This window comes from Homo sapiens, chromosome 12 (genome assembly GCF_000001405.40).
Source record: "Homo sapiens chromosome 12, GRCh38.p14 Primary Assembly".
NCBI lineage: Eukaryota > Metazoa > Chordata > Mammalia > Primates > Hominidae > Homo > Homo sapiens.
Window position 1 is genome coordinate 12,934,039 of NC_000012.12, and position 25,745 is coordinate 12,959,783.

The 25,745-nt window shown below is 42.4% G+C and overlaps 1 protein-coding gene and 1 long non-coding RNA gene across 8 annotated transcripts in view; one reads left to right on the forward strand and one right to left on the reverse strand.

Annotated features, from left to right (window-relative positions):
• Positions 1 to 25,745, forward strand: part of GPRC5D-AS1 (GPRC5D and HEBP1 antisense RNA 1) — a 94,773-nt gene that overhangs the window by 6,313 nt on the left and 62,715 nt on the right. The window lies entirely within an intron of this gene.
• Positions 6,537 to 18,132, reverse strand: GPRC5D (G protein-coupled receptor class C group 5 member D). 2 transcript variants are annotated; one of them, NM_018654.2, is made up of 4 exons: positions 18,069 to 18,132; positions 15,452 to 16,391; positions 8,223 to 8,290; positions 6,537 to 6,811 (listed from the first exon to the last, which is right to left on the reverse strand). In NM_018654.2, the coding sequence occupies exons 2-4, from the start codon at positions 16,344 to 16,346 to the stop codon at positions 6,737 to 6,739; spliced, it is 1,038 nt and encodes a 345-aa protein (NP_061124.1). In that variant the 5' UTR covers positions 16,347 to 16,391; positions 18,069 to 18,132; the 3' UTR covers positions 6,537 to 6,736. The 2 variants fall into 2 exon arrangements, with proteins under 2 accessions (NP_061124.1, XP_016875072.1); XM_017019583.3 differs by lacking the exon at positions 8,223 to 8,290.

Sequence of the window (25,745 nt, forward strand, 5' to 3'; positions counted from 1 at the left end):
CCCTGTGCACTTTGGGGTGGGGTTTTAGCATTAAAATGAGGTAGAATTTGGCTCTTTATGTCAAAAGGTGAACTTTATGACTCAAAGATGGTTTGTGCGCGGCCTCTACAAGCTGGCTGAAATTGGCTTAAGGTCTGCAGTTGTTTGTCAAAAAAGAGAATGTTTGTAAGGCTGATCCTCTGTCCAACAGAGTTGTAGTGGTCTGGGTTGTAAACCAGAGTTCAGATAATCTGCCTGATAGCTTCTGTTGTTAGGGGGTTTAGTGAAAGTGCGGTTTTGCTTGTAGAAATTTAGAAATTTGTCATGCCACCTGGCCCCTGAATCCTCTATCTCTAGGTAATATTTTGGTTTCTTTACCCTCAGGGTCCATCTTAGTTGATAAAGGGGTGTCTATTTTGCTCTCTGAGGTCACATCATCACAGTAACCCAGTCACACGGATTTTCTTGAGACATTCCTGAAGGCAGCCCCAGGAAAGGCATTCTGATAATACTTTAACAATGGCTGCAATTTTGTGCCTCCTGATGTAACCACTTTGAAGTCCTTTAAATAAATAAGTTCTGATATATGTTACCCGACAAACTTAATGTCACAGGTGGTGACTATCTGGGGCCAGTGGCGCAGATGGTAAAGGAATTTATCAAGACAGTTGTACATAAAGGAATGCAGATTTATTGAGAAGGAATGAAAATACTTTGCAAGGCCGCAGCGGGCAGCACAGCAGAAAAGGAGCCGTCTGCAGAGAGGGAGGGGCTGGAGGGAAGTTTTATAGGGTTGTGCTGGAGGGGGTTATGTGCAGAAGGAGGTCCCCCAGCAGGTGCTTGTGCCCGCGGGTTGTTTGTGATTAGCCATCTCTCAGAACAATCATTCATTCATTGATATTCCCCACCTGCCCCCACCCCAACCAGCGACCCCTTCCTTGTCGTTGTTTACTTATCAGGGCTCCACACTTAATTCTAAATAAGCTACCTTTGATGAAGAGTGGCAGTTATGATCTCTTAAAGGCCCGAGCCATTAAGACATTTTTAACAGCTGCAGGAAAAAGTCTGCCTTTATTCAGACGTCAGGTGCATCTTCTCAGAGGTCCAGGTCTCCATATGGCCACTGTTCAGCGTTCATTGAGAAGCACCTCCCACAAGTGCAAAATATGAGGTGTTGGACCAAGGAAACTGGACAGCTCTTTTCTAGTTTAATTCTCATTAATTGTGTTCTTTTAAAATAGGTGATTATGCTTAATCTGAGGAGGATGCCACAGCCACAGAAGTATCTGGTTTATATCATTCTGCCATAACTTAGGATGGGCTTAGTCTATGACAGCCCTGTCTCCTAGACCATCAAAGGAAGTTTCCAGGAAAAGGTAGATCTCGAATTAATTGTGGAAGAAGAAAACAAAGAAGAAGAAGGCACGAAGTTGGCCGATATAGAATAGATACTACTCTAAGCCCTTTAAGTTTATGGGTTGATCATGAAATTTAATATGCAGGGAAATAAATCTTTGATGTTCTTTGGATCAGGAAAATATTAATATCATCAAGATGAAGGATATATTAACTCTATCCAGGCAAGTATTTTGTTAGCAGTATGCTCTAACCAGCTGAGCTAACTGGCAACATTATGCCAGGCAGGCATTTTAAAATAAAAATTTTAATTGATACCTTTTCTTTTGGATAAAGTAAATAAAATCAGAGGGATACTACCTAAAATATTTAAGATGTAAGATGAAATGAGCCACCCATAAGAAAAATTAAAAATAAAATATTTTAGAGAATATGTACCTATCAAATTATGTAACCCATTACATATAAGTAAATGATTTTAGATGGCTGGGCATGGTGGCTCACGTCTGTAATCCCAGTACTTTGGGAAGCTGAGGTAGGAGGATTGCTTGAGCCCAGGAGTTCAAGACCAGCCTGGGCAACATGGTGAAATCTCATCTCTATTTTTTTTTTTTTTTTTTTTTTTTTTGAGACAGAGTCTCGCTCTCTTGCTCAGGCTGGAGCGCAGTGGCACTATCTTGGCTCACTGCAACCTCTGCCTTCTGGGTTCAGGCGATTCTCCTGCCCCAGCCTCCTGAGTAGCTGGGATTATAGGCACCCACCACCACACCCGGCTATTTTTTTTGTATTTTCAGTAGAGACGGGGTTTCACCATCTTGGCCAGGCTGGTCTTGAACCCTGACTTCAAGTGATCCACCTGCCTTGGCCTCCCAATGTGCTGGGATTACAGGTGTAAGTCACCATGCCTGGCCATCTCATCTCTATTAACAACAACAAAAAAAAGTAAATGAATTTAGATCTTCAAATAATACTTGTCAAATTGAGTAATTGAGTACAATATGTTAACCATAAATAGTTTTATGTTTTATTTTATTATTTTATATTTTTAGATAGGGTCTCACTGTCACCCAGACTAGAGTGCAGTGACATGATCATAGCTCACTGCAGCCTTGAACTCCTGGGCTCAGGGAATCCTCCCACCTCCTGAGTACCTGGAAAAATCTATTTTTAAAAGCAGGGGTTCCTCATGGATCTCTACTTAGAGAGTTCACAGTTTTTGGCTTTATGTGAATTGCTGCATAAACTTGAAATAAATTCAATTGTATTTTTACAAAAGTATTCCATAGCCTGGGTGTGGTGGCTCATTCCTGTAATCCCAGCACTTTGGGAGGCCAAAGCGGGTGGATTGCTTGAGCCCAGGAGTTTGAGACCAGCCTGGGCAACAAAGCAAAGCCCCGTCTCTACAAAAAATAGAAAATTAGCTGGGCATAGTGGGGTGCACCTGTGGTTCCAGCTACTTGGGAGGCTGAGGTGGGAAGATAGCTTAAGCCACTGCACTCTAGCCTGGGTGATGGAGTGAGACCTTGTCTCAAAAAAAAGTATTCTCTAATTTTATAAAATTATATTTTTATATTTTTCAGGATTAATTTCTCCTGTATTAGTTTCTCATGGTGCATGTTATGGTTTCCCCTGCTCCCCAGAGAACATTTCTTTGTCCACAGTTTCCCACAGAGGAAGCAGGCAGATGTGACCAGGTCTGTCCCACATAACCAAGCCAGGCACAGCTGAATGGACCAGTGGTGGGTGCCGGACCCAAGGGCAGCCAATCCACAGGCTGATTCAACCTAAGAGAACAGCTGAATTATGGCATGTGAGAGAATCAGTCAGCCGGCGGTGGGTGGATAAGTGAAAATACCCACAAAAAGAAGCAGAGAAAGTGTAGAAGTGACCGCAGGAGACAGCAAGCCTCTCCCAGTGCCTGACAGTGCTTACTCTCCGTCAGGCCAGCTGAGAGGCTGTACTGTGTATCCTGAGGAAGTTTTGTTTCCCCGTCATATGTAACTTTAAAATAAAACTCCAGGCCGGGCGTGGTGGCTCACGCCTGTAATCCCAGCATTTTGGGATGCCGAGGTGGGCGGGTCATGAGGTCAAGAGATCAAGACCATCCTGGCCAACATGGTGAAACTCCGTCTCTACTAAAAATACAAAAATTAGCTGGGTGTGGTGGCGCTCGCCTGCAGTCCCAGCTACTCAGGAGGCTGAGACAGGAGAATCGCTTGAACCCGGGAGGCGGAGGTTGCAGTGAGCCAAGATCGCCCCACTGCACTCCAGCCTGGTGACAGAGCGAGACTCCATCTCAAAAAAACAAAACAAAACAAAACAAACTTCATTCCTGAAACAGCTTGAATGAGACACTTGCAACCTACAACCCCCCAAATCTAACTAATAGGCAGTCTAAAATTAGATAAATTGTGGTGTAAATTTCAGAGGCAGTTTGGTAAAAAGGTTCAATTTTAGCCTTCATCAATTTTAGAAAAAAACATTTTGGGAGACAATATTAGGCCCTTGTATGTGGCTTCAATGAGTTTTTAAGAATTTGTTAGCCAACTCTGTAGAAACATCTCCTGCTTGCAAAACAAAACAAAATTATGTTGAAGGTATTATTATGATTATTAGGATAAACATCAGGAGGATGTGTTATAATGGTTTTCTTTCACAACAGGTGGACTTTTTTTGGCTTGTTTCTACCTCTCAAATTAGGGTCTTCATGTGGATGCCACCTAATCTATAGACCAAAGCATTGCTTAATGCTTAAACATTTTTTCTCCGTTTTTCATTATCAATAAGGGCAGTAGGTCAAACATTTTTGTCATTTACCTAGGTCCTGGGTTGTGCTGATAATATTGCTTATGGCACAGATTTTGAAAAAGAGCAGCAAATTTTAGTGCAGCAGAAAAACATACGAAAGTGTTGGAACAGGTTGGGCGCGGTGGCTCATGCCTGTAATCCCAGGACTTTGGGAGGCTGAGGTGGGTGGATCACTTGAGGTCAGGGGTTCAAGACCAGCCTGGCCAATGTGGTAAAACCCCGTCTCTACTAAAAAAAAAAAAAAAAAAAATACAAAAGTTAGCTGGGTGTGGTGGCGGGCACCTGTAATCCCAGCTACTCAGGAGGCTGAGGCAGGAGAATCGCTTGAACCCAGGAAGCAGAGGTTGCAGTGAGCCGAGATCGTACAACTGAACTCCAGCCTGGGGTGACAGAGCGAGACTCCGTCTCAGGAAAAAAAAAACAAAAAACAAAAAACGTTGGAACATTGTGTAGAGATGAGCACTGGATAGGGGTTTGGAAACCTGGATTCTGGTCTTGGTTCTAGTGCTAACAAGCCATGTTATACTGGGCAAGTCCCTTCTCCCTGTCTGTGAAAAACAAAGGAACTGTGTTCCTGAAATTCTCTGCATTGTATGATCTTCTACAACAAAAATGCAAGCTTTGCTAAAGCAGTGTTGTACGCCTTGTCTGGGGCTGAGTCCTAGAATGGTTCCTGGTACCTTGCAGATGCTCAGGAAATATTTATTGCTATTGAACAGCTTATGGTGTCCACTGGCCACAGAAAAGGCTCTGTTGCATGTATAAAGCTGTAGTTATTTTTCAAAAGGCTTTCAGTTAGCAGGCACTCAACACTCACGGGTCTGAAATATTCCATTTGTTCTCAAGGGGAACACACCTTACTTGCTCATACAGAAATATGGGCATGGAGGAGCCTAGTGGACGGGGGAAGAAGACAGGCTTAGGAGTCAGAAAATCTGGCTCACCACTAATGACTGTGTGGCTTTGGGTAAGTCATTCTGTTCTCCAAAGTTCCGTGCTCTCATCTGCAAGGTGAGAGAGCTGACTCAGACCCCGGGACCCTTCTAGAGGCACACCTCTGACTCTGGTCCTCTTATTCTTGTAATAGATAACAAACGAATATTAAGCGCAGATGAAAGCATTCAGAAGAATGTGGGGCTGATGAGGAACAAAGGCAAGAAAATTAGCACAGAGGCACCAGCTCATTAGAAACATCAAGACAGGCAGACTATGCTTTTTATGTTCACCACATAAAATCCTTTATGAGCATCTGCTGGGGTGTCTCTTCCTTTGCTGTTACTGGCTCAGCAAAGCAGGTCATGCCCTCAGCCATGTCTGCTGCCCAAGTAGCTGTCACAGGGAGGTAGCACCAGGAGAGAAAGCCTGCCAGCTTGCAAGTCCATGGCAATGTCCGTGTTCTTTAAACCGCCCAATTGTGGTGATCCTGAGGATTTGGCCTTAACTTTTGTAGACAATTCTGGACCTATCGTATTTTGAGTTCCTTTACAAAAAAATTACTAGATGCCTCACACTCATTAGGATGACCACTGTAAACCAAAAATAAAAACACCCCAGGAAATAACAAATGTTGGCAAGGATGTGGAGAAAGTAGAACTCTGTGCATTGTTGATAAGAGTGTAAAGTGCTGTAGCTGCTGTGGAAACAGTGTGGACGTTCCCCAAAAAAATTAAACATAGAATTATCATATGATCCAGCAATCCCACTTCTGGGTATACACCAAAATAATTGAAAGCAGGATTTCAAAGAGATTTTTGCACATCTATGTTCATTGTAGCTCTATTCACAATAGCCAAGAGGTGAAAGCAACCCCAAATGTCCATTGACAGATAAATAAAAAAAAATGTGGTATAGACATACAATGGAATATTGTTCAGCCTTAGAAAAGGAGATCCTGTGACATGCTACAACATGTGACATGGACCTTGAGGACATTATGCTAGGAAAGATAAGCCAGTCACAAAAAGACAAATACTGTATGATTCTATTACATAAGGTATCTAAGTAGTCAAACTCACAGAAACCAAAAGTAGAATGGTGGCTGTCAGGGGCTGGAGGGAGCTGTTCAATGGATTGAGAATCTCGGTTTTGCAAGATGAAAAAGTTCTAGAGAATTCACAACAGTGTGAATATGATTAACACTACTGAACTGTACACTTAAACATGATTGAGATGGTGAAGTTTATGTTCTGTGTTTTTTAGCACAATTTAAAAATTGACCAGACATGTGACCCAGTAGTAAGCTGCTACTAACCTCGTTGTCACATTAGAATGCCCTTAATTTCTTCAGACAGGGTCTTTCAGTTCTGTGAATAAGAGGCACCAATTCTTTTCCAGCATTGCTAAGAAAGGGAATTTTGCAGTTACACGAATGAAGAAAGAGACACAGTCAAGGTAGGGTGGCCAGCAAGATTGTAATTATGCTCAAAATGGTGGTCTTCTGGTGGAGGGTCCTGGTGGATGGAGGGGTTAGGAAACAGAAGGTGGGATGCTGACTCTTCATTGGCAGCGTGACTCTGTGGGCCCCCGTGGGCTATCAGGGCTATGCTACCCAGGACGGTCTGCTGGGTTTTCTCCACTTGTGTTTCCTGTAGATTTATACTCCTCCTGCATCTTGCTGGGGGCTTAGTTTAGCCTGTGGGATGAAACACTCTTGTGTGGGATCAACAGTCTGGAAAGGAAGAAATGCCATCATCAACTTTCTGAGCAACAAAAGAAATGATATTCTCCAAAGTTATGTTTTTGTTTTTTGAGACAGAGTCTTGCTCTGTCACCCAGGCTGGAGTGCAGTGGTGTGATCTGGGCTCACTGCAAACTCTGCCTCACAGGTTCAAGCAGTTCTCCTGCTTCAGCCTTCTGAGTAACTGAAATTACAGGCATGCACCACCATGCCCAGATAATTTTGTAGTTTTAGTAGAGATGGGGTTTCACCATTTTGGCCAGGCTGGTTTTGAACACCTGACCTCAAGTGATCCGCCCACCTCACCCTCCCAAAGTGCTGGGATTACAGGCATGAACCACTGTGCCAGGCCCTAAAGTTATGTTTGAAGTATTATTATCTCACCTTCATTTAATTCTTTGTCAATAACAAAAGAAGAAACATACTGAGCCTACCTATACCAGGCTACCCCTTAGCCACGAACAAGAATCTTTTTGCAAGCAAGGTTCTTGAATAGCTGATCACTGGAAATTGAAATGAATCCAAGAAACTCTTGGAGGGGACAATAAAGATGTTTTCATTATGTAAATGCCCTCCTGAGGGTTGATTAAAGCACATGATATAGTTATGGCCTGGTCCATGTGTCATTCTAGGAAAAGGCAAATTCTCAGATAACATACCAGAGGGGTTAGCTTAGTTAGTGGCCTAGTAAATTCATTGAATAAATGATCTGAGGGTGGCTTTCACGTTGGGGCTTTAGTTACTTTTGATCCCCGTAATGTAAGAATTGTGTCCCAGTGTGATGTTTTTGGCTGTTTAGATTTGTATGTCTTCAAGTCTTCACAGCCCAAATGTGAATTACCCCCAAACTACTCAGCAGTGCTCCCTCTGTTTTTGCCTGAAAGGATTAAAATTTGTTCATCCATCTGGGCATCCAGATGATGATGACATACCCTGCCCAGTTCTTAGGGCAGCCTGGGCTGCTGGAGCTAGACAGTGACTCAGAGAGGCAGTCAGTGGGGCTCAGGTGATAGGTTCAGACAACTGCTACTAAAAGCTGACCCCAAACTCAGACATATTTACAATCCTGTATTGTCCCCGAGGCAAAATTCGGTAAGCCTGCTGCTCTTCACCTTCACACAGAAGCTTCAAGCTGCCCTTTCTTTCCAGGGACACGCACTTGCATCAGAATGCTATATTGTTGATGGCGATGAAGACTGGGAGGGTTTGGGTGAAAGCTGTCTTGCGCCACCTGGTCTGGCTTAAATCTGGGTGGCTCAAGCTCCACATGCCTTTAGGGATGCTCCTGCTCTGTCTCTCCTCTCTCAGGTCAGTAAAGCCATTAGAAATGAAGCCTGAGGCTGTCCTAAGGAAGGAATGCTTGCTAAGTCCCTCCTGGGTGAATATAGGCGAGTACATTTACCTGCGGCTGAATGGGAGTACCATATGAAGTTAATGCTACATCCTCCTCAGCTCCATCACTGTCTCGGGCTGAAAGCCAAAGGAGGGAAGGGCTGGGTTAGTGTCCGAGAGTCAATCGGAAACAGCACATGAGGACTACAGGAAAACTCCATGGCTTGCAAACAGGCTCTTCACTCTTTAAAAGGAATTCTGAGGCTGGGCACGGTGGCTCACGCCTGTAATCCCAGCACTTTGGGAGGCCAAGACAGGCGGATCACTTGAGGTCAGGAGTTCGAGACTAGCCTGGCCAACATGGCAAAACCCCGTCTTCACTAAAAATACAAAAATTAGCTGGGCGTGGTGGCGTGCACCTGTAATCCCAGCTACTTGGGAGGTGGAGGCAGGAGAATTTCTTGAACCTGGGAGGCGGAGGTTGCAGTGAGCCGAGATCACGCCACTGCATTCCAGCCTGGGTGACACAGCGAGACTAAATAAATAAATAAATAAGAGGAATTATCAATCAGTTGTAGCTGTTATTGAAAAACTTTATGATTTAAAGGAGTGTATTTAAAGTTGATGTAGAAAGCGTGGGTAGCGTGTGAGTGTTTAGGAGAAGCGCATTGGCGTTGGGAGACCACTAGCTCCAAGTCAGTTCTTGCTCTCTCAGTATTACCGTGTGGCCTTGGGCATCTCACTCTTTTCAACAGTCCCTTTAGGCTTGATTCTCTACAAGCTTGAATTCAATTTTTCAAAAATTTAAAAATTTTGCCCAGGTTGATCTTAAACCCCTGGCCTCAAACCTCCCACCTTGGCCTCCCAAAGTGCTGGGATTATAGGTCTGAGCCACCATGTCTCACCTGAATTCAATTTTTAAAATTGGGCATAATAAAAGAGATCACTTGAGACGATTCTATATTGTTGTAGGATCATCACAGACATAGGTATTTGTTTAATGGCTGCCTCCTCAACCAGCCTGTAAGCTCTGTGAAGACAGGAGCTGTGCCTGTCTCTAAGAGCAGGTACTTGCTGGATACCTAGTTGTTTTTTGATGATCACAGACATAACCGTGTTAGTAGGGTTCACACTTAGGGGTTTCATGTTGAGTGGATGGACCCTGGAAAAGGACTGCTTGGCTCTCTCATTTGTGTTACCTACCTAGGGCCAAGTTCCTTAACCTTTTGTTGCCTTTGTTTCCTGATGGAAATAAAAGAGGAATAATGACAGTCATAACAGTAAGTCTATCTCATAGGATTGCTTTGAGGATTATGTAAAATGTTATATAAAGTCCTTGGAACAGAGCTATCCTTTGTGTATGATTATTGGTGGTGGTGCTGGTGCTGCAGTTATAATAGATGCTCTGACATCCTCTTCCTAGTGGCTTTTTACTTATTTTTTTTATTTTTTAAAGGGGCTGATGCTGTGATACATGAAATGCTTGTCTTTCCTTCATGGCAGAACAAACTGAATCCTTGGCTCAACTTCATTCCTTGTGTCATAACAAGGCTCCTTCACACTCAGTCTCTTGGGAACCAACTTTCAGCCAACATTCTCATCAAACCAGATCATCAGTTAGAAAAGCCTAATTCTTCCAGCTCTAGCTATAGTTCATGAGTTTACCAAAAGGCTGAGCGTTTTTTTATACTAAACCTGCACCACTGTGTGATAGGAAGTCCGAGTTGAGTAAGACCTTCCATTTATCTGTGGAGAAGGCAGGGAGGGAGGTGATGAGCAGCATTTAAAGATGAGGAATCTGAGGCTCCTAGGGCTTGAGGACCTTGGTTTGGTCTCGAAGCAGAGTCTCGGAGCCTGGGCACATGCGGCCCGATTCTGCACTCTTTCCACTGCCCTTTGCTGCCCAATTATGCTCTCACTCCCTGAATTTGTTTTTTTAAATTGAAATGTAATTTTTTTAGAGTGTGCAGTGGCGCAATCATAGCTCACTGCAACCTTGAACTCCTGGACTCAAGTGATCCATCTCACGGCCTCTTGAGTAGCTAGGACCACAGGTGTGTGCCACTATGTCCAGCTAAGCTCTCTGAATCTTTGTGAATGACACCATCCTTGACTTATCTGTCCTCAGACCAAACAAATCCTGCCTATGACCCCACTGTCTTCTTCCTTGCTTTAAGCTAGTTCTCTCTCTGTGACCTGTAATTTGAGGGTGACAAAAAAGAACTTCCCATGAAAGAACAAACAAACATGACACCACCTGGGACCATTGAAGTTGGATTTCCCCTGGTAAGGTGAGTGTGCCTTGAAGAAAAAAATGTTCAAAAAGGGCTATGTTCAGCAAAAGTTGGAGTTTGCTAGGGAAACAACCAGAAGGGCTTATGTTTGCAGGAATAGTGTTCTCTTGGTTCATCTCGTTTTATACTCGTTGATCCGTTTTTACATTATATAGACTCATTGATTATCTAATGCCTTCAAAAAGAATCATATGAGGTTTGTCTGTATGCATCCAAACACTGGATGGAAAAATGCCTACAGTACTGTGACACCTTTCTTCCTTCCTTCCTTCCTTTCTTCCTTCCTTTCTTCCTTCCTTCCTTCCTTCCTTCCTTCCCTTCCTTCCTTCCTTCCTTCCTTCCTTCCTTCCTTCCTTCCTTCCTTCCTTCTTTCTTTCTTTCTTTCTTTCTTTCTTTCTTTCTTTCTTTCTTTCTTTCTTTCTCTCCCTTTCTTTCCCTTTCTTCCTTTTCTTCCCTTTCTTTCCTTTTCTTTCCTTTTCTTTCCTTTTCTTTTTCTCTCTCTCTCTTTCTCTCTCTCTTTCTCTTTCTCTCTTTCTTTCTTTCGAGTCTCGTTCTCGTTGCCCAGGCTGGAGTGCAATGCATGATCTCAACTCACTGCAATCACCACCTCCCGGGTTCAAGTGATTCTCCTGCCTCAGCCTCACAAGTAGCAGGGACTACGGGTGCCCGACACCACGCCCAGCAAATTTTTTGTATTTTTAGTAGAGACAGCATTTCACCATGTTGGCCAGGCCGATCTTGAACTCCTGACCTCAGGTGATCCACCCTCCTCGGCCTCCCAAAGTGCTGGGATCACAGGCATGAGCCACCACGCCGGGCCAACGCTTTCAAATACAGATGGGTCTTAGTGTTAGCAAATATGATATAACAATATTCCTGTTAGTCTAAAACAGATAAGGCAGGCAATAGTTAGAAGTTTTCCACTCATAAAACAATTCATAGCTGATATTCTACTCTAAGATTTCTGCTCTTTATATCACATTTAAGATTCTCAATTAAAAGACCTACTGATTTTATTCTATTTATTTATTTTGAAGGTTAGTTATCATTTATTCAGGAAGAGAAATATTCCAAAATTTACCAACTCCAAATTAAATATAAAACAAGTATTATATCATCAACTAATTAATGAATATGTTAAAAAATAACATAATCCCAGGATCATGTAAATGGAAAGTAGTTAAACATCAAAATAATTTCAGAATTACATCTCTATTTTATTTTGCATTTTAATTGCTTCATTTCATGTACACAAATTCTTTACCCTAATCTTTTTGTTGAAGTTTCCTGTACCTAACAATATGCTGAGCATGTTAAATTTCAATCAAATGCTGTGAGAGGATGTATCTATATTTTTGGCTCAAGATTTTGATTGAGGCCAACTGATTTTTAAAAGTCCAATCAATATACAGCTTTTCAGGGACACACTTATAACACAGAGCAAATAATATTTATACCCATTTGTTTGGTGTCCTACAGTAATACACCTGATTGCATTTTCATTCTCCATCCAGATGTTTTTGTATCTTAAAATTAAGTCCATAATCCACTTCGGAGGAATAAAGCCTAATCTTCTTTAGATAGACTTCCAGGGAAATGAAATTCTTAATCCCCTTTGCTGATCTGTTTCTGTCTACCAACTCTTATTTTCATTTTTAATCTAAATCTCTCATGCCTTTGCGTCCATTTCCACCCACTATCTTTAGTTGGAGATGGAAAACAACAGGACAACCGCCTCTTGGGGAGAGGTCTTCACACTTGTGAAATTTTCTTTCTTTCCTTTCTTCCTTCCTTCCTTCCTTCCTTTCTTCCTTCCTTCCTTCCTTTTCTTTCTTTCTTTCTTTCTTTCTTTCTTTCTTTCTTTCTTTCTTTCTTTCTTTCTTTTCTTTCTTTCTTTCTCTCTTTCTCTCTCTCTCTTCTTCTCTCTCTTTCTCTCTCTCTCTTTCTCTCTTTCTCTCTCTCTCTCTCTCTTTCTCTCTTTCTTTCTTTCGACGCAGCCTTGCTCTGTTGCCCAGGCTGGAGAGCATTGGTGTGATCTCGGCTCACTGCAACCTCTGCCTCCCAGGTTCAAGTGATTCTCATGCCTCAGCCTCCCGAGTAGCTAGGATTACAGGCATGCGTCACCATGCCCAACTAATTTTTGTATTTTTAATAGAGATGGGGTTTTACCCTGTTGGACAGGCTGGTCTCTAACTCCTGTCCTCAGGTGATCTGCCTGCCTTGGCCTCTCAAAGTGGTGGGATTGCAGGTGTGAGCCACTGCGCCCGGCCATACTTGTGAAATTTCCAGCTAGGGATCCCTTGTCCTACTCTCCTTTTAGCTGAATAATTCTGGTCTCATAACCCAGTGGTAAATTAAATAATTATGTGACTGGAATCACAGCTACAAACAGCATTAGTCAGAAGGGTCACATCACAAATGCATGCCTCATGGACTGAAACAACATGTGTTTTGGGACAGAATTTCGAGAGAGAACTTGGATAGTCTGGTAAAGCACATAAAACTTAAGAATGACCATCTCATTCTCACTGTCTTCACCTTTCCACACAGGTCTGATGTTATACCCTTTAATCATCTTTGTTGGGTTCTGCCAAGCCTCCCCAAACTTCCCACACTTCTCATTAGTGGATCAGTGGGTATCCTTGCTAGAGACTGACCGATTGTGGGTACAATGGCACGGTTGTTCTTGCTGACCACACATCTGTTTATACAGTACCATGATTGTTTCTTGAGCAAACAAAAGCAAAGACAGTGGTAAGTTGTTTCCCTACTATCAGCTCATGACCTACCATAACACTTAGGACGTTTCAAGTTATTGTTATTATACTTCTCTAGCTCTTAACCTATTTCGTATCTATTTGTATGTTTTTCCTAGCTAGGTGGAATCCTGCACTTTTAATTGAGTTTTAATCATTCCTCTAAATTTTGATATTTGTACTTCTTCCAGATGACCTAAATTCTGATTTTACTTTCTGAGCTTAAGCTTCTGGTTATTTTGCCCAATCTTGGAGGGCAATTCCTTCCCTTCCTTCCTTCCTTTCTTCCTTCCTTCCTTCCTCCCTCCCTCCCTCCCTCCCTTCTTTCTTTTATTTTAAATTGAGACAGGGTCTCGTTCTGTCACCCAGGCTGGAGTGCAGTGGTGTAACCGTGGCTCCCCGCAGCCTCAACCTCCCAGACTCAAGTGATCTTCCCACCTCAGCCTCCTGAGTAGCTGGGGCCACAGGCCTGTGCCACCATGCCCAGCTAATTTTTTGTAGAGACGGGGTTTCGCCATGTCGCCCAGGCTGGTCTTAAACTCCTGAGCTGAAGTGGTCCAGCCGCCTCGGCCTCCCAAAGTGCTTGGGATTACAGGTGTGAGCCACAGAGCCCAGCCAATCTGTATGTTCTTTACAACACTATTGATTTTTTTTCCACAAAATTTCAAATTACATTGATGATGGCTATCACTGGCAGACTATTTCCTGCTCAGAGATGGGTTTTCTAACCTTGCTTGAGTCATAGGAGACTCCTGGCCAAACCAGGGATCATCGTATTTTAGCAGGCCTTTGCTCTTCAACTGAGATACTCCTTCGAGCCCGTTCAATGCTTGCCTGCTACTTTGTGGGGTAAGGAATATTGATCATTACAAAGCTCAGTGTATTTTGGTTTATTGTGAAACTCTAAGAATTTTTTTTTTGCTCTGACTTTTGTTTCCTGGAAACACACAGCAGCAACGAAAACACAAAAAGTTTTATCTTCTAGTAAGAACTATGAGAAGTATTTTCAGGAAAGATTGACTCTGCAATTCTGCCACAAAACTCAGTGATGTGATTATGCCTCACCAACAAGCAATGGAAAACTTTTATGGGAAAAAGTGTGTAGTATCAATTTCCAACTTTTGGTCAACTGAACTGAAAAGAATCAATGGATGTATTTATCTGAACAGGATTTAATTTGAATGCGCAACTAGCCACAGATTACAGCTCAAAAAAAGTGTATGTACTTAAAAGGAAGCTTATGTGAATTTTTTTGAGCCTGGTGAACATTATGTGTGCTGTACAATATATAAAATAACATCATCATTACATATTAGAAATAAAATGTGAGAAATCAGATGCCTATTAAGACACAAAAATTGATGTAAAACTATGATATTGGGTTTTGGATAATAGCCCAGATGTTTCAGAAAAGGAATTAATGAGTTTTGACATATTTCCAGATAATTAAAATTAGCCACTATTTCCCCCAGGTTGTTGGGGTCCAAGCATCCTTGTTGCCATGGATAATGTATTTTATTCCTTAACAAAGTGGAGTCAGGTGGCTTGAATCAAAATATGACCCAGAAATTATTATGAAAATGTCACATAAGCAAGTTACTTTCTTTCTCCTAATGATCACACATCTGAGTCTTTACTCAGAATTAGGATATAATGGCTCTTCCTCTCGCTTTTTGTAAACCTTGAAGGATTTTAAATAGTAAATGTTTTGAAAAGTTGAAATCCAGAAGTGATTGGGCTTTATGGCTTTAATGAGGTGGTGAGTCCTGTGAATCAGTTTAAGATTACGTTTGGGCAAATTAGCTTTGAGACAAATTTTTAAAATGTCCATCACTGCTGCCAGGATCGGCTGTTGCACTTGAAGGCCAATACATCTGGACTTAACATTAGATATCATGCAAAATCGCATGGTCCAGGCCTAATTTAGGGCCAGTTAACTCATTTTATAGTGGATGCCTTTCTTTAACCAGTGTGAACATTCAGAGTCATACCCTCTTTATTTAGGGCCTTTGATTCATGTATGTCTTGGTCTCTCCCCATAAAGCTCTATGCTTTGGAAGAACTCATTTTTCATAAAAATTTAACCTTGATTCTGGGAGTCTGCATTTCTATGCTTGAACTATGAAGCCACCCACCCCAAATCTGACCATTTTCTTTTAGTTTCCTCTTGGCTCATCCTACTGCATGATTTTTCTCCTGCTTCTCCTGTAGGAGCACCTCCCTGCTCCCTGAATCCCCCAGGAATGTACCTCTGGAGAGCTCCTGGTTCTCCACTTGGAAGCTGTGTTGGTAGGCTGTGACGGGGCAGGCATTGCCTTGTAAAGGGCACTCCTGTCTACACGATCTGTAGAGAATGCAGAGCTCAGGGACGATGTACAGCAGCAGGAAAACCCATGCGTTGGTGACCAGAGCAATGCAGACGACCGGGTCGTCCCACTGGGGCTGTCGCTGGAACTGCGGGTTGCCTCTCAGGAGCATGGAGATCCACACCACCCAGATGATGATGGAGAAGAGCACAGTGATAAAGATGAGCCTTCCATGCTGCTTCCAGTTCTCACACGGGCCACAGAAGGTGGCTTTGGAGACGAAGAATGTGAGGGCCATCAGGAAGAGGACATAGACCAGGAGTACAACAAAGTCCACATTGAGCTGGCAGGGTGTCATATTCACAAACATCATACCTCTGGTCATGATGAGAGTCACATACTCAGTGGCAATAATGATTTGCAACAGACTGCAACCAATAGCAATGCACAGAATTGTCGTCCAGGAGAAGGAGACACAACCCCGAACCAGCTTCACTAGATTGGAGGCATGAGCTAAGAGGCATGAGAAACAGAGAGCAAAGAGAACCCCAAAGAGAAAGTAGCGTACGGGGGCAGTTTGTTGATTGAGCTCGATGATGAAGGCAAAAGCGAGTCCGAAGAGCCCCAGGACACTCAGGAGGAAGAGGAGCTGGGTGGGGAGGACATTCCACTGGCTGCAGTCTTGGATCTTTCGCATGAGGAAGAGAAATGCTAAGAGTAGCAGAATTGTGACCACGATGCCAAGTATGGCCAGGGACTCCAGAATGATGCCCCATGGCCCCTCGGCGTCACAGAGAAGAAAATAGTCTCCAGTGGACTCGATGCAGTCCTTGTACATGGTGACTTATGGGTGTGGACCTCACCAGAATGGTTTTCTGATGCCCTGCAGAAAAAGGATGAGACAAATTGACAACTCTGCATCTCTTAGGTTGGTGCAAAAGTAATTGTGCTTTTTGCTATTAAAAGTAATGGCAAGAAGGCTGGGTGCGGTGGCTCACTCCTGTTATCCCAGCACTTTGGAAGGCTGAGGCGGGCCGATCACTTGAGGTCAGCAGTTCAAGACCAGCCTAGCCAACATGGTGAAACCCCATCTCTACTAAAAATACAAAGATTAGCCGGGTGTGGTGGTGCACACTTGTAATCTCAGCTACTCGGGAGGCTGAGGCAGGAGAATCGCTTGAACCCAGGAGACAGAGTTTACATTGAGCCGAGATTGCCCCACTGTACTCCAGCCTGGGTGACAGAGTGAGACTCTGTCTCAAAAAGCAAAAAACAAGGCAGGGTACAGTGGCTCATGCTTGTAATCCTAGCACTTTAGGAGGCCAAGGTGGGTGGATCACTTGAAGTCAGGAGTTCAAGACCAGCCTGGCCAACATGGTGAAACCCCATCTCTACTAAAAACACACATAAAAAATTAGCCGGGCATGATGGCATGCGCTTATATTCCCAACTACTTGGGAGGCTGAGGCAGGAGAATTGCTTGAACCCAGGAGGCAGAGGTTGCAGTGAGCCAAGATCGCACCACTGCACTCCAGCCTGGGCGACAGAGTGAGACGCTGTCTGAAAACAAAAACCGAAAAACAAAAAACACACAAACAAAAAAAGTAACGTCAAGAACCGCAACTGCTTTCGCACCAACCTAATACCTACAAGAATGCCTATTGGGTGGTCCATGCTGGGCACTGTAATTTCTCTCATTCTGAAATGAAGACACCTGGGCATATGAAATAAATGTCCTTACCAAAATTGTTCCTAGGACACTGTCAAGAGCCTGAGTTACATTTTGTTTGACTCCTGATACTTATCTAAATGCTAAGCTTCCCTGGGGGAAGAAATTCAGAGATATATGCAAACATAGTCTAAGGGGATGGGAAATGCCATCACACATATTACCCCAAATTTATAGCAGTTTTATATAGGATGTCAGTAAAGGAAATGAGAAAGGCAACCTAAACCCTTCAAAACTATCTTGGCTTCATCCTGCTGGGAAAAGCTGAACAGGCTTCACTTGATAATATGTCCATTTGTGTATGCTAATTTCCAAGGCTTTGAAAGCTAATACAAAATCTTTTTCATAAAAGGAGGTGTATGAGAATGTTTGCATGATTGATGGAATTCAGTTATATCAGACTCCAGAACAAGGACTGCCAACATTAATGGATCATTGGATCGTTCTAGACACTGATGCACTGCTTGAAGGAGACAGGCAGATAAATTACTGGGAATAAAATTTCCCAGTAATTTTAATGACTGTTCCTTCTTTCAGTTAATTCAAGTCAATCCAATGCAGCAGGTTGTAGTTAAACACCTATTGTGTGTTCATCAAAGAATTGTACAAAATGGTCCCTTTCTTTAAATACCTTTTTGAACAGTTTAGTACGAAAGTCCATGTCTTGACTGAGGTAGCCTAGGAAAAAGATCCCACATATTCATTTGAAAAAAAAAAATCAATTGCAATTGAATACCCCTTAGCTCTACTTCCCTTCAGTTATCCCCAGACCAGATGGCTGGAGTGACCCAGGTTTACAGCTGAGAACATGGCCCCCCAATTCCAACTTACCTTCTCCGTGTCCACTCTGGAAGCTTAGGCTGTAGTGCTGGCAAAGTTGTAACTGCCAATGAGTAAGAAAGAGCCAACCTCAGCTTCTTTAATCTCTCCCCAAATGGGCGGAAGAACCGTAGGCTCTCACTGAGGTTCCTGCAGTATCTATAAAAAGAACCGGAAGGACAGAAAGACACACCTATTCCAGTTTCACAGCAACTTTTCTACAGAGATTTCCTTGGTGAGAATAATTCTTTTTCATTCTACTGCTGACCAGAGGCACCTTGGCCTTAGGGAGCGGGTGTAAATCTGAAAGTGGGTATAAATCTAGGAAAGACGGCTTCCTCCCTGTGTATTGCAACACATTCAGGGAAGCTACACAAGGCCCTCAGGTGACTTACACCAGGATACCTCGTCCTTCTTCTGACCTATTGCCTAAAAAGCCATCTCTGGAGACTTTCTCACATCTTGATTTTTTTTTTTTTTTTTTTTTTGAGATAGAGTCTTGCTCCATCACCCAAGCTGGAGTGCAATGGCACGATCTCGGTTCATTGCAACTTCTGGCCTCCCGGATTCAAGCAATTCTCCTGCCTCAGCCTCCCGAGTAGCTGGGATTACAGGCGCATGCCACCACATTTTGTATTTTTAGTAGAGACGGGGTTTCACTATGTTGGCCAAGCTGGTCTCAGACTCCTGACCTCGTGATCTGCCCGCCTTGGCCTCCCAAAGTGCTGGGATTACAGGTATGAGCCACCTTGCCCGGCCCCCACATCTTGATTTTAATTCAAAAGAGCATCCATTCAACAAAGTACAGGTAATGAGGTTTCACTGGGCCATAAGGAAGGGTGGTTTTGTCTACTACTGGCATTAAAATGGCCAGTGGCAGGCAAAACTGTGAATCAGTCTGTGAATTTATCCCAAGATAAAGAACTGACAATTAAAGGTCACCGGCTGATACTTGAATACCATATTCCTTTTCTTCTATGGTGACACAAAATACAGCACAGCACAGTGTCCAGCCTACACCCACCAACCGCACCCCGCCACCTCCAATTTACTCCTTGATTTTCTTCCTGAATATATGTTTGTTTTTTTTTTTTTTTGAGATGGAGTCTCGCTCTGTCGCCCAGGCTGGAGTGCAGTGGCGCGATCTCGGCTCACTGCATCCTCCGTTTCCTGGGTTCAAGTGATTCTCCTGCCTTGGCCTCCCGAGTAGCTGGGATTACAGGTGCATGCCACCACGCCCGGCTAGTTTTTTATATTTTTGGTAGAGACGGGGTTTTACCATGTTGGCCAGGCTTGTCTTGAACTCTTGACCTCAAGTAATCTGCCTGCCTCTGCCTCCCAAAGGGCTGGGATTACAGGTGTGAGCCACCACACCCAGCCCCTGAATATATGTATTTCGACAGAGGACTGCTGAAGACCCCAAACCAGTGTCTGGTTTCAAGGTGCTTGTGATCTGGCTCTCCCTTTCTTACCCACCTGTACTTCCTTCACATCTCCAGGCTCTATGGTTTAGCCTCCTTGGTTTTCCCACTGGCTCACAAAAAAAATAAGTTCCCAAGTGCTCACCTCTGTCCCTGTCCGAAACTGCCTTGTGCTTGATTCCCATTTATCCTATTTTTGACCCAAATTCATTCCCTCCCTGTAGGATTTTCTTCACCTTATCTCCTCTATGACTCTTCCTGCCTTCCCTCATCATTCTAGACCTCGCTGATCACCTTCCACCAGGAACTATACAAGACTTGGGGTCTGTTCTGTTCAAAATTACAGAAACCCTATTTTCTGCCTATTAGTTAACTTATGAATACATATTAAGTAATAATGAATTGAAATAAATGAATAATAAATGTCTCAATTTCTGTTATATGAATTAATCTCATCTCCTGATTGGATTTATAGCTGTCTAGGGGTCAGGTTCCACATTTTATGTCCCCATAGTACCTGCTTCTATGTGGAGAACCTCCTGGGTGATGGATAATTCAATTAATGGAATGATTCTAAAGATAAAATTCCAGATCTTTCAGAAGGTCCTTTTTAGTGGTGTGGTTTTTCAACAGATGTGTGTTAATGGAAAACACCTGCAAATAAGTGAGAGACTTAACAAACCCTTGACAAAATCATTCTGAAGTGGTGTTCTATCTTTAGAGTTCCTTAACTTCAAAAAGCCATTTTCTCCTATGAGAGAAGAAGATTCTAGGGATGATAGAATTTTCTTACATCCAATTACACCTTAAGCTCCCCTTTACCTGCTTTGGGTATAATAGCAGTCTTTCCGAAGCTGTGAAGGCTAATGTTTACGTTAAGGGTAAAGGGATTTTTCAGATGATGAAATGTGACATCCGTGAGCATCCACTCAAAGAGCATAGTGAGTGGTTAAACTGCTGTCAGCAGAACTGCAGGAGGATTTTCCATTGAATTCTTCCAGGAGTACTATTTTGTTGATCCTGCACCTCCCACCCCCTTCCTGCTGGTTAGTCATGGTTGTCATTCCTCCTCCTGGTGATGTTTTAGCTTCTGGTGTGCTTGTCTTCTAAGGAGATTCCTCTTGAGCTCCTGATGGCTTGAGACCAGTGGATTTATGGGTTAATGACCACAAAGCCCTTTAAGTACCTTAGATAAAAGGACGTGTCCCAGGTATTAATTATTGTTATTTTAAAATCTAGCGTTATAGAATTAACCCATCTGCAGCTAGGCCTTAAGGATATGAGGGGCCTTTTTGCCTACACACATCCAAATTACTCACAGCTCATTTCTTTTGGCTTCTGTGCTACAATAACATCAGAACAAACAGCTCAGATATGGCTTTGATTAATCAAAATACACTGATTACAATGAGTCCAATAAAAATGGAAATAAAACAGTCAGGACACCAAACATCTTATGTCAAACACCTATTTATGTTGTTTCCTTCTCACAGAAACAGAGCTGGAGGGAATGTTAAAGGTTACCTAGCCTAACTCCTATTAATGATTAATAATAAGGAAGCCAATGTTACAACATGAGGAATTTAATAATAAGGAAGCAGAGGCCCAGGGATGAAGGGATGTGCTTACCATATGGAATGTTGAAGATGACAGCCAAGGTTTGTTGTCTCCTGGCCATATTCTTGCTGTTGTACCAGGCAGCCTTTCCTGACTCTTCCCACCTTATAAGGACAGGCTTTTAGAGAGACGTGAGCCTTTAAGCATGATTTGACCGGCATACACACACAAAAGAATATGAAAGCACATCACATATTCTTCATCCTGCAGCTATCATGACTGGCCGTGTGAGGACAGGCTGTGTGGGACGGAATGCATCAGTCAGGAGTGGCCCATTTGTTCTTTTGCTCACTGGCATCTCCAGGGCTGGCGTCATGAGGGTGTAACCAGTGCAGTTGTATGGGAAACCCCATTCAGAAGGGCCCTGTGCTTGGAATTGAATACTCTGTGGTTGCCATATTGAAGTTGTTAATACTTGCATCTTTGAATTTGTGTTTGGTAAGTGAAGTGGGGCAGGACACAGAAGCATGCGCTGAGGCTTGAGTCTTGATTCACACCCCACCCTGCCTTCCATGGCCTCTCCTCCTTCCTGAGACAGGTTCTTGGCCACCCACTCTATGCCACCATGTGGTGTCCTGGGTTGCCCAGCTAGCCTCCCCATTTGTGCTTCTGCCATGTGATTACTGCCGCCCCTCACCTGGGCTCACCTCTCTGCCATGGGTTGGGACAGTAGGCCCTTAGAAAGAGGGTATTGACTTGTTCATTTCCAAGCAGGGCTGCATATTTTCTTTCTTTCTTTCCTTCAATTTCTTTCTTTCCTTAATTTCTTTCTTTCTTTCTTTTTCTTTCTTTCTTTCTTTCTTTCTTTCTTTCTTTCTTTCTTTCTTTCTTTCCTTCCTTCTTTTCTTTCTTTCTTTCCTTCCTTCCTTCCTTTCTTTCCTTCTTTCTTTCTTTCCCTTCCTTCCCTCTTCTCTTTCTTTCCTTTTTTCTTTCTCTTTTTCCTTCCTTCCTTCTCCTTCCTTCCTTTTTCCTCCTTTTCTTCTTCTCCTTTTCTTTCCTTTCTTTCCTTCCTTCCTTTCCTTTTTTCTTTCTTTCTTTCTTTCTTTCTTTCTTTCTTTCTTTCTTTCTTTCTCTTTCTTTCCCTTCCTTCCTTTCTTCCTTCTTTCTTCTCTTTCTTTCCTTCTTTTTTCTTTCTTTCTCTTTTTCCTTCCTTCCTTCCCCTTCCTTCCTCCCTCTGTCCCTTCCTTTCCTCCTTCCTTCCATTTTCCTCCTTTTCTTCTCCTTTTCCTTCTTTCTTTCTTTTTCTTTTCTTTCTTTCCCTTCCTTCTTTCTTCTCTCTTTCTCTTTCCTTCTTTTTTCTTTCTTTCTCTCTTTTTCCTTCCTTCCTTCCTTCCTTTCTCTTTCTTTCTTTCTTTCTTTCTTTCTTTCTTTCTTTCTTTCTTTCTTTCTTTCTTTCTCTTTTCTCTCTTTCTCTCTTCCCTTTTTCTTTTTTTCTTGAGATGGAGTCTAGTTCTGTTTCCCAGGCTGGAGTGCAGTGGCACGATCTCTGTTCACTGCAACCTCTGTCTCTTGAGTTCAAGCAATTCTCATGCCTCAGTCTCCTGAGTAGCTGGGATTACAGGCATGTGCCACCACACCCAGCTAATTTTTGTATTTTTAGTAGAGATGGGGTTTCACCATGTTGGCCAGGCTGGTCTTGAACTCCTGACCTCAAGTACTCTGCCCACTTCAGCCTCCCAAAGTGCTGGGATTACAGGTGTGAGTCATGGCACCCAACCTGGGCCATGTATTTTTGTTTTGCATTTGGCTCCAGAAATTATATAGCTGGCCCTGGGCATCTTATTCGGTTTTCTGGTATTTGATGCCTAGTTTGATCAATTTTGTATCAGGATGTGAACACTGTCCAGTTTAATTTTATGTTGATATAATGTGGAATTAGTTGTGAAGTGCCGTAGCAATTGATCAGCAAATTGTCAAGACTCTCAGCTGAGTATCACTTAAGAATGTCAGGATATTTTTTGGAATGGAAGTTATTCTACTTTTTTTTTTTTCAGTTTGTAGCTATTATAACACTTTAATTGAACTAGTATACATTCTGTTATACAGAGCTGCTTTATTATTAGAAGAAAGCAGATGATATAAAAATATAGAGGTATATTCAAGTTCAGCTTGTTGACACCTGTACTATTACAGAATAATATGAGACAATTTTTTTAATGGAATTACAGTCTGGTACAGATTTTTTGATTCAATTAAATCACAACACTGATGTTGCAAATTGCCAACACTTTTAGTCAGACTAGATATGACTGACAAGACAATTTTTATGAAGAATTTGTTGTGCATCTGGAAGTATAAATCTGACAATACTGAGAAAAATGTTGACTCTAATAACATTTTTTGGGCTAGGCTAGGTGTGGTGGCTCACTCCTGTAATCCCAGCACTTTGGGAGGTTGAGGCTGGCAGATTGCTTGAGCCTAGGAGTTCAAGACCAGACTGGGCAACATGGCAAAACCCATCTCTACAAAAAATACGAATATTAGTCAGGCATGGTGGTGCACACCTGTAGTCCTAGCTACTCAGGAGGCTGAGGCGGGTGGATCGCTTGAGCCCAGGAGGTTGAAGCTGCAGTGAGCCGAGATGGCGCCACTGCACTCCAGCCTGGGTGACAGAGTGAGACCCTGTCTCAAACTGCCTCCGCCAAAACCCGAAAGAGAGCCCTATTTTTTATTTTATTTGAGTTGCATTCTAAAAAGGAAAAAGTACATGGAAGACCTGATAGTGAAGATTATTTAAATGCGATTTTATAAAATATACAAGGCTTAACAAAAATGACAGACTCAACATATTATTTACAAAAAATTTTTTATAATTGAAAGCTTAGGACCTTCAAAATAAAAAACATACCTGGAAATACAACATAATATCTTGTCAATAAGTCAAAGAAATGTTTCCAAAGGAAAAATACATATGATTACTAATAATTTATAAGTTGTCAGCTACTATTAATGAAAGAGCCATATAATCACCTATTTAGTAGTGTATTAGGGGCAAAAAAGAAAATGGGTCATGCAACTGTCAAAAATTATTCTTCCAGAATGGATGAGATGGTACATAGGATTTTTTATGATAAAATGATAAATCAGCTGAAAAATTAAAAATTATACCTTTTAGTATCCCATAATATCTCATCAAATCTATACTATTACAGAACAATAACAGGCAGTGTTTTTGAATGCAATGACAGTATGGTACAGATTTTGTGATTCAACTTAATGAAAGCACTGATATTGTAAGTTGCCAACACTTTTAGTCAGATCAGATGTGACTGACAAGACAATTTTTATGGAGAATTTGTTGTGTTTAAATTTTATTTTACTTTATTTTATTTTGAGATGGAGTTTCACTCTTGTCACCCGGCTGGAGTACAATGGTGCGATCTCGGCTCACTGCAAACTCTGCCTCCCGGGTTCAAGCGATTCTTGTGCCTCAGCCTCCCAAGTAGCTGGGATTACAGGTGCGCACCGCCATGCCTGGCTAATTTTTTTTGTGTGTTTTTAGTAGAGATGAGGTTTCACTATGTTGGCCAGGCTGGTCTCGAACTCCTGACCTCAGGTGATCCACCTGCCTTGGCCTCCCAAAGTGCTGGGGTTGCAGGCATGAGCCACTATACCCGGCCTTAAATTTTATTTTAGCCTCAACTGGATTAGATATCATCTCCTCGTTGGAAAAGTATATTGTTTATCGAACATTTTTTAAAAAAATTTTTAACTTTTATTTTAGGTTTGTGGGTACATGTGTAGGTTTGTTACATAGGTAAACGCGTGTCACGGGGGTTTGTTGTACATGTTATTTCACCACCCAGGTATGAAGCCCAGTGCCCAGTAGTTATATTTTCTGCTCCTCTCCCACCTCCCACCCTCTCCCCTCAAGTAGGTCCCAGTGCCTGTTGTTCCCTTCTTCGTGTTCAGAAGCTCTTATCATTGAGCTCCGCATTGTAAGTGAGAATCTGTGGTATTTGGTTTTCTGTTCCTGTGTTAATTTGCTAAGAATAATGGCCTCCAGCTCCATCTATGTTCCGCCAAAAGGCATGATTCTCATCTCATTTGATAGCTGCATAGTCTTCCATGGTGTATATGTCCCACATTTTCTTTATCTAATCTGTCATGGACGTGCATTTAAGTTGATTCCATGTGTTTGCTGTTGTGAAGAGTGCTGCAATGAACATTCGTGTGCATGTGTCTTTACGGTAGAATGATTTGTATTCCTTTGGGTATATAGCCAGTAATGGGATTGCTGGGTCCAATGGTAGTTCTGTTTTTAGTTCTTTGAGGAATTGCCATACGTTGAATATTACTTAAACTGAAAAAAATGTAAAGGAATTATGAGTGTGGACAACAAATACAACCAGAAAATCTGGCGGAATTAATAAATATTGTTAAAAAACTACTAACAGCCCTGGTTTATTCAACATAAGGCTTTGGCACCTAAAGAAATTTAACTGAACTTCATGGATTTATTGAAATCGAGATGCCAGTGGGCAAAACTTGTAGAAATATTTTGTTCAGATATTGGAGCTGACATATCCACTTACCACACGTAGTCAAAGTCCTGGTTACCATGAGGAAAAATACTCAAAAATAAGATTTAGATTTTGTTAAACTGAAAAACTATCTCATCTGGCAAATATTTTTGAACATGGTATTTGGA

Excerpts from the sequence above, each read along its gene's own strand:
- GPRC5D (NM_018654.2), bottom strand. The coding sequence starts at position 16,346 with ATGTACAAGGACTGCATCGAGTCCACTGGAGACTATTTTCTTCTCTGT. Across the intron at positions 8,291-15,451 it reads GAACCAGGAGCTCTCCAGAG|CCCGAGACAGTGATGGAGCT; the intron begins GTACATTCCTGG and ends TTTGGCTTTCAG. Across the intron at positions 6,812-8,222 it reads GTACTCCCATTCAGCCGCAG|ACTGTTGATCCCACACAAGA; the intron begins GTAAATGTACTC and ends CTTCCTTTCCAG.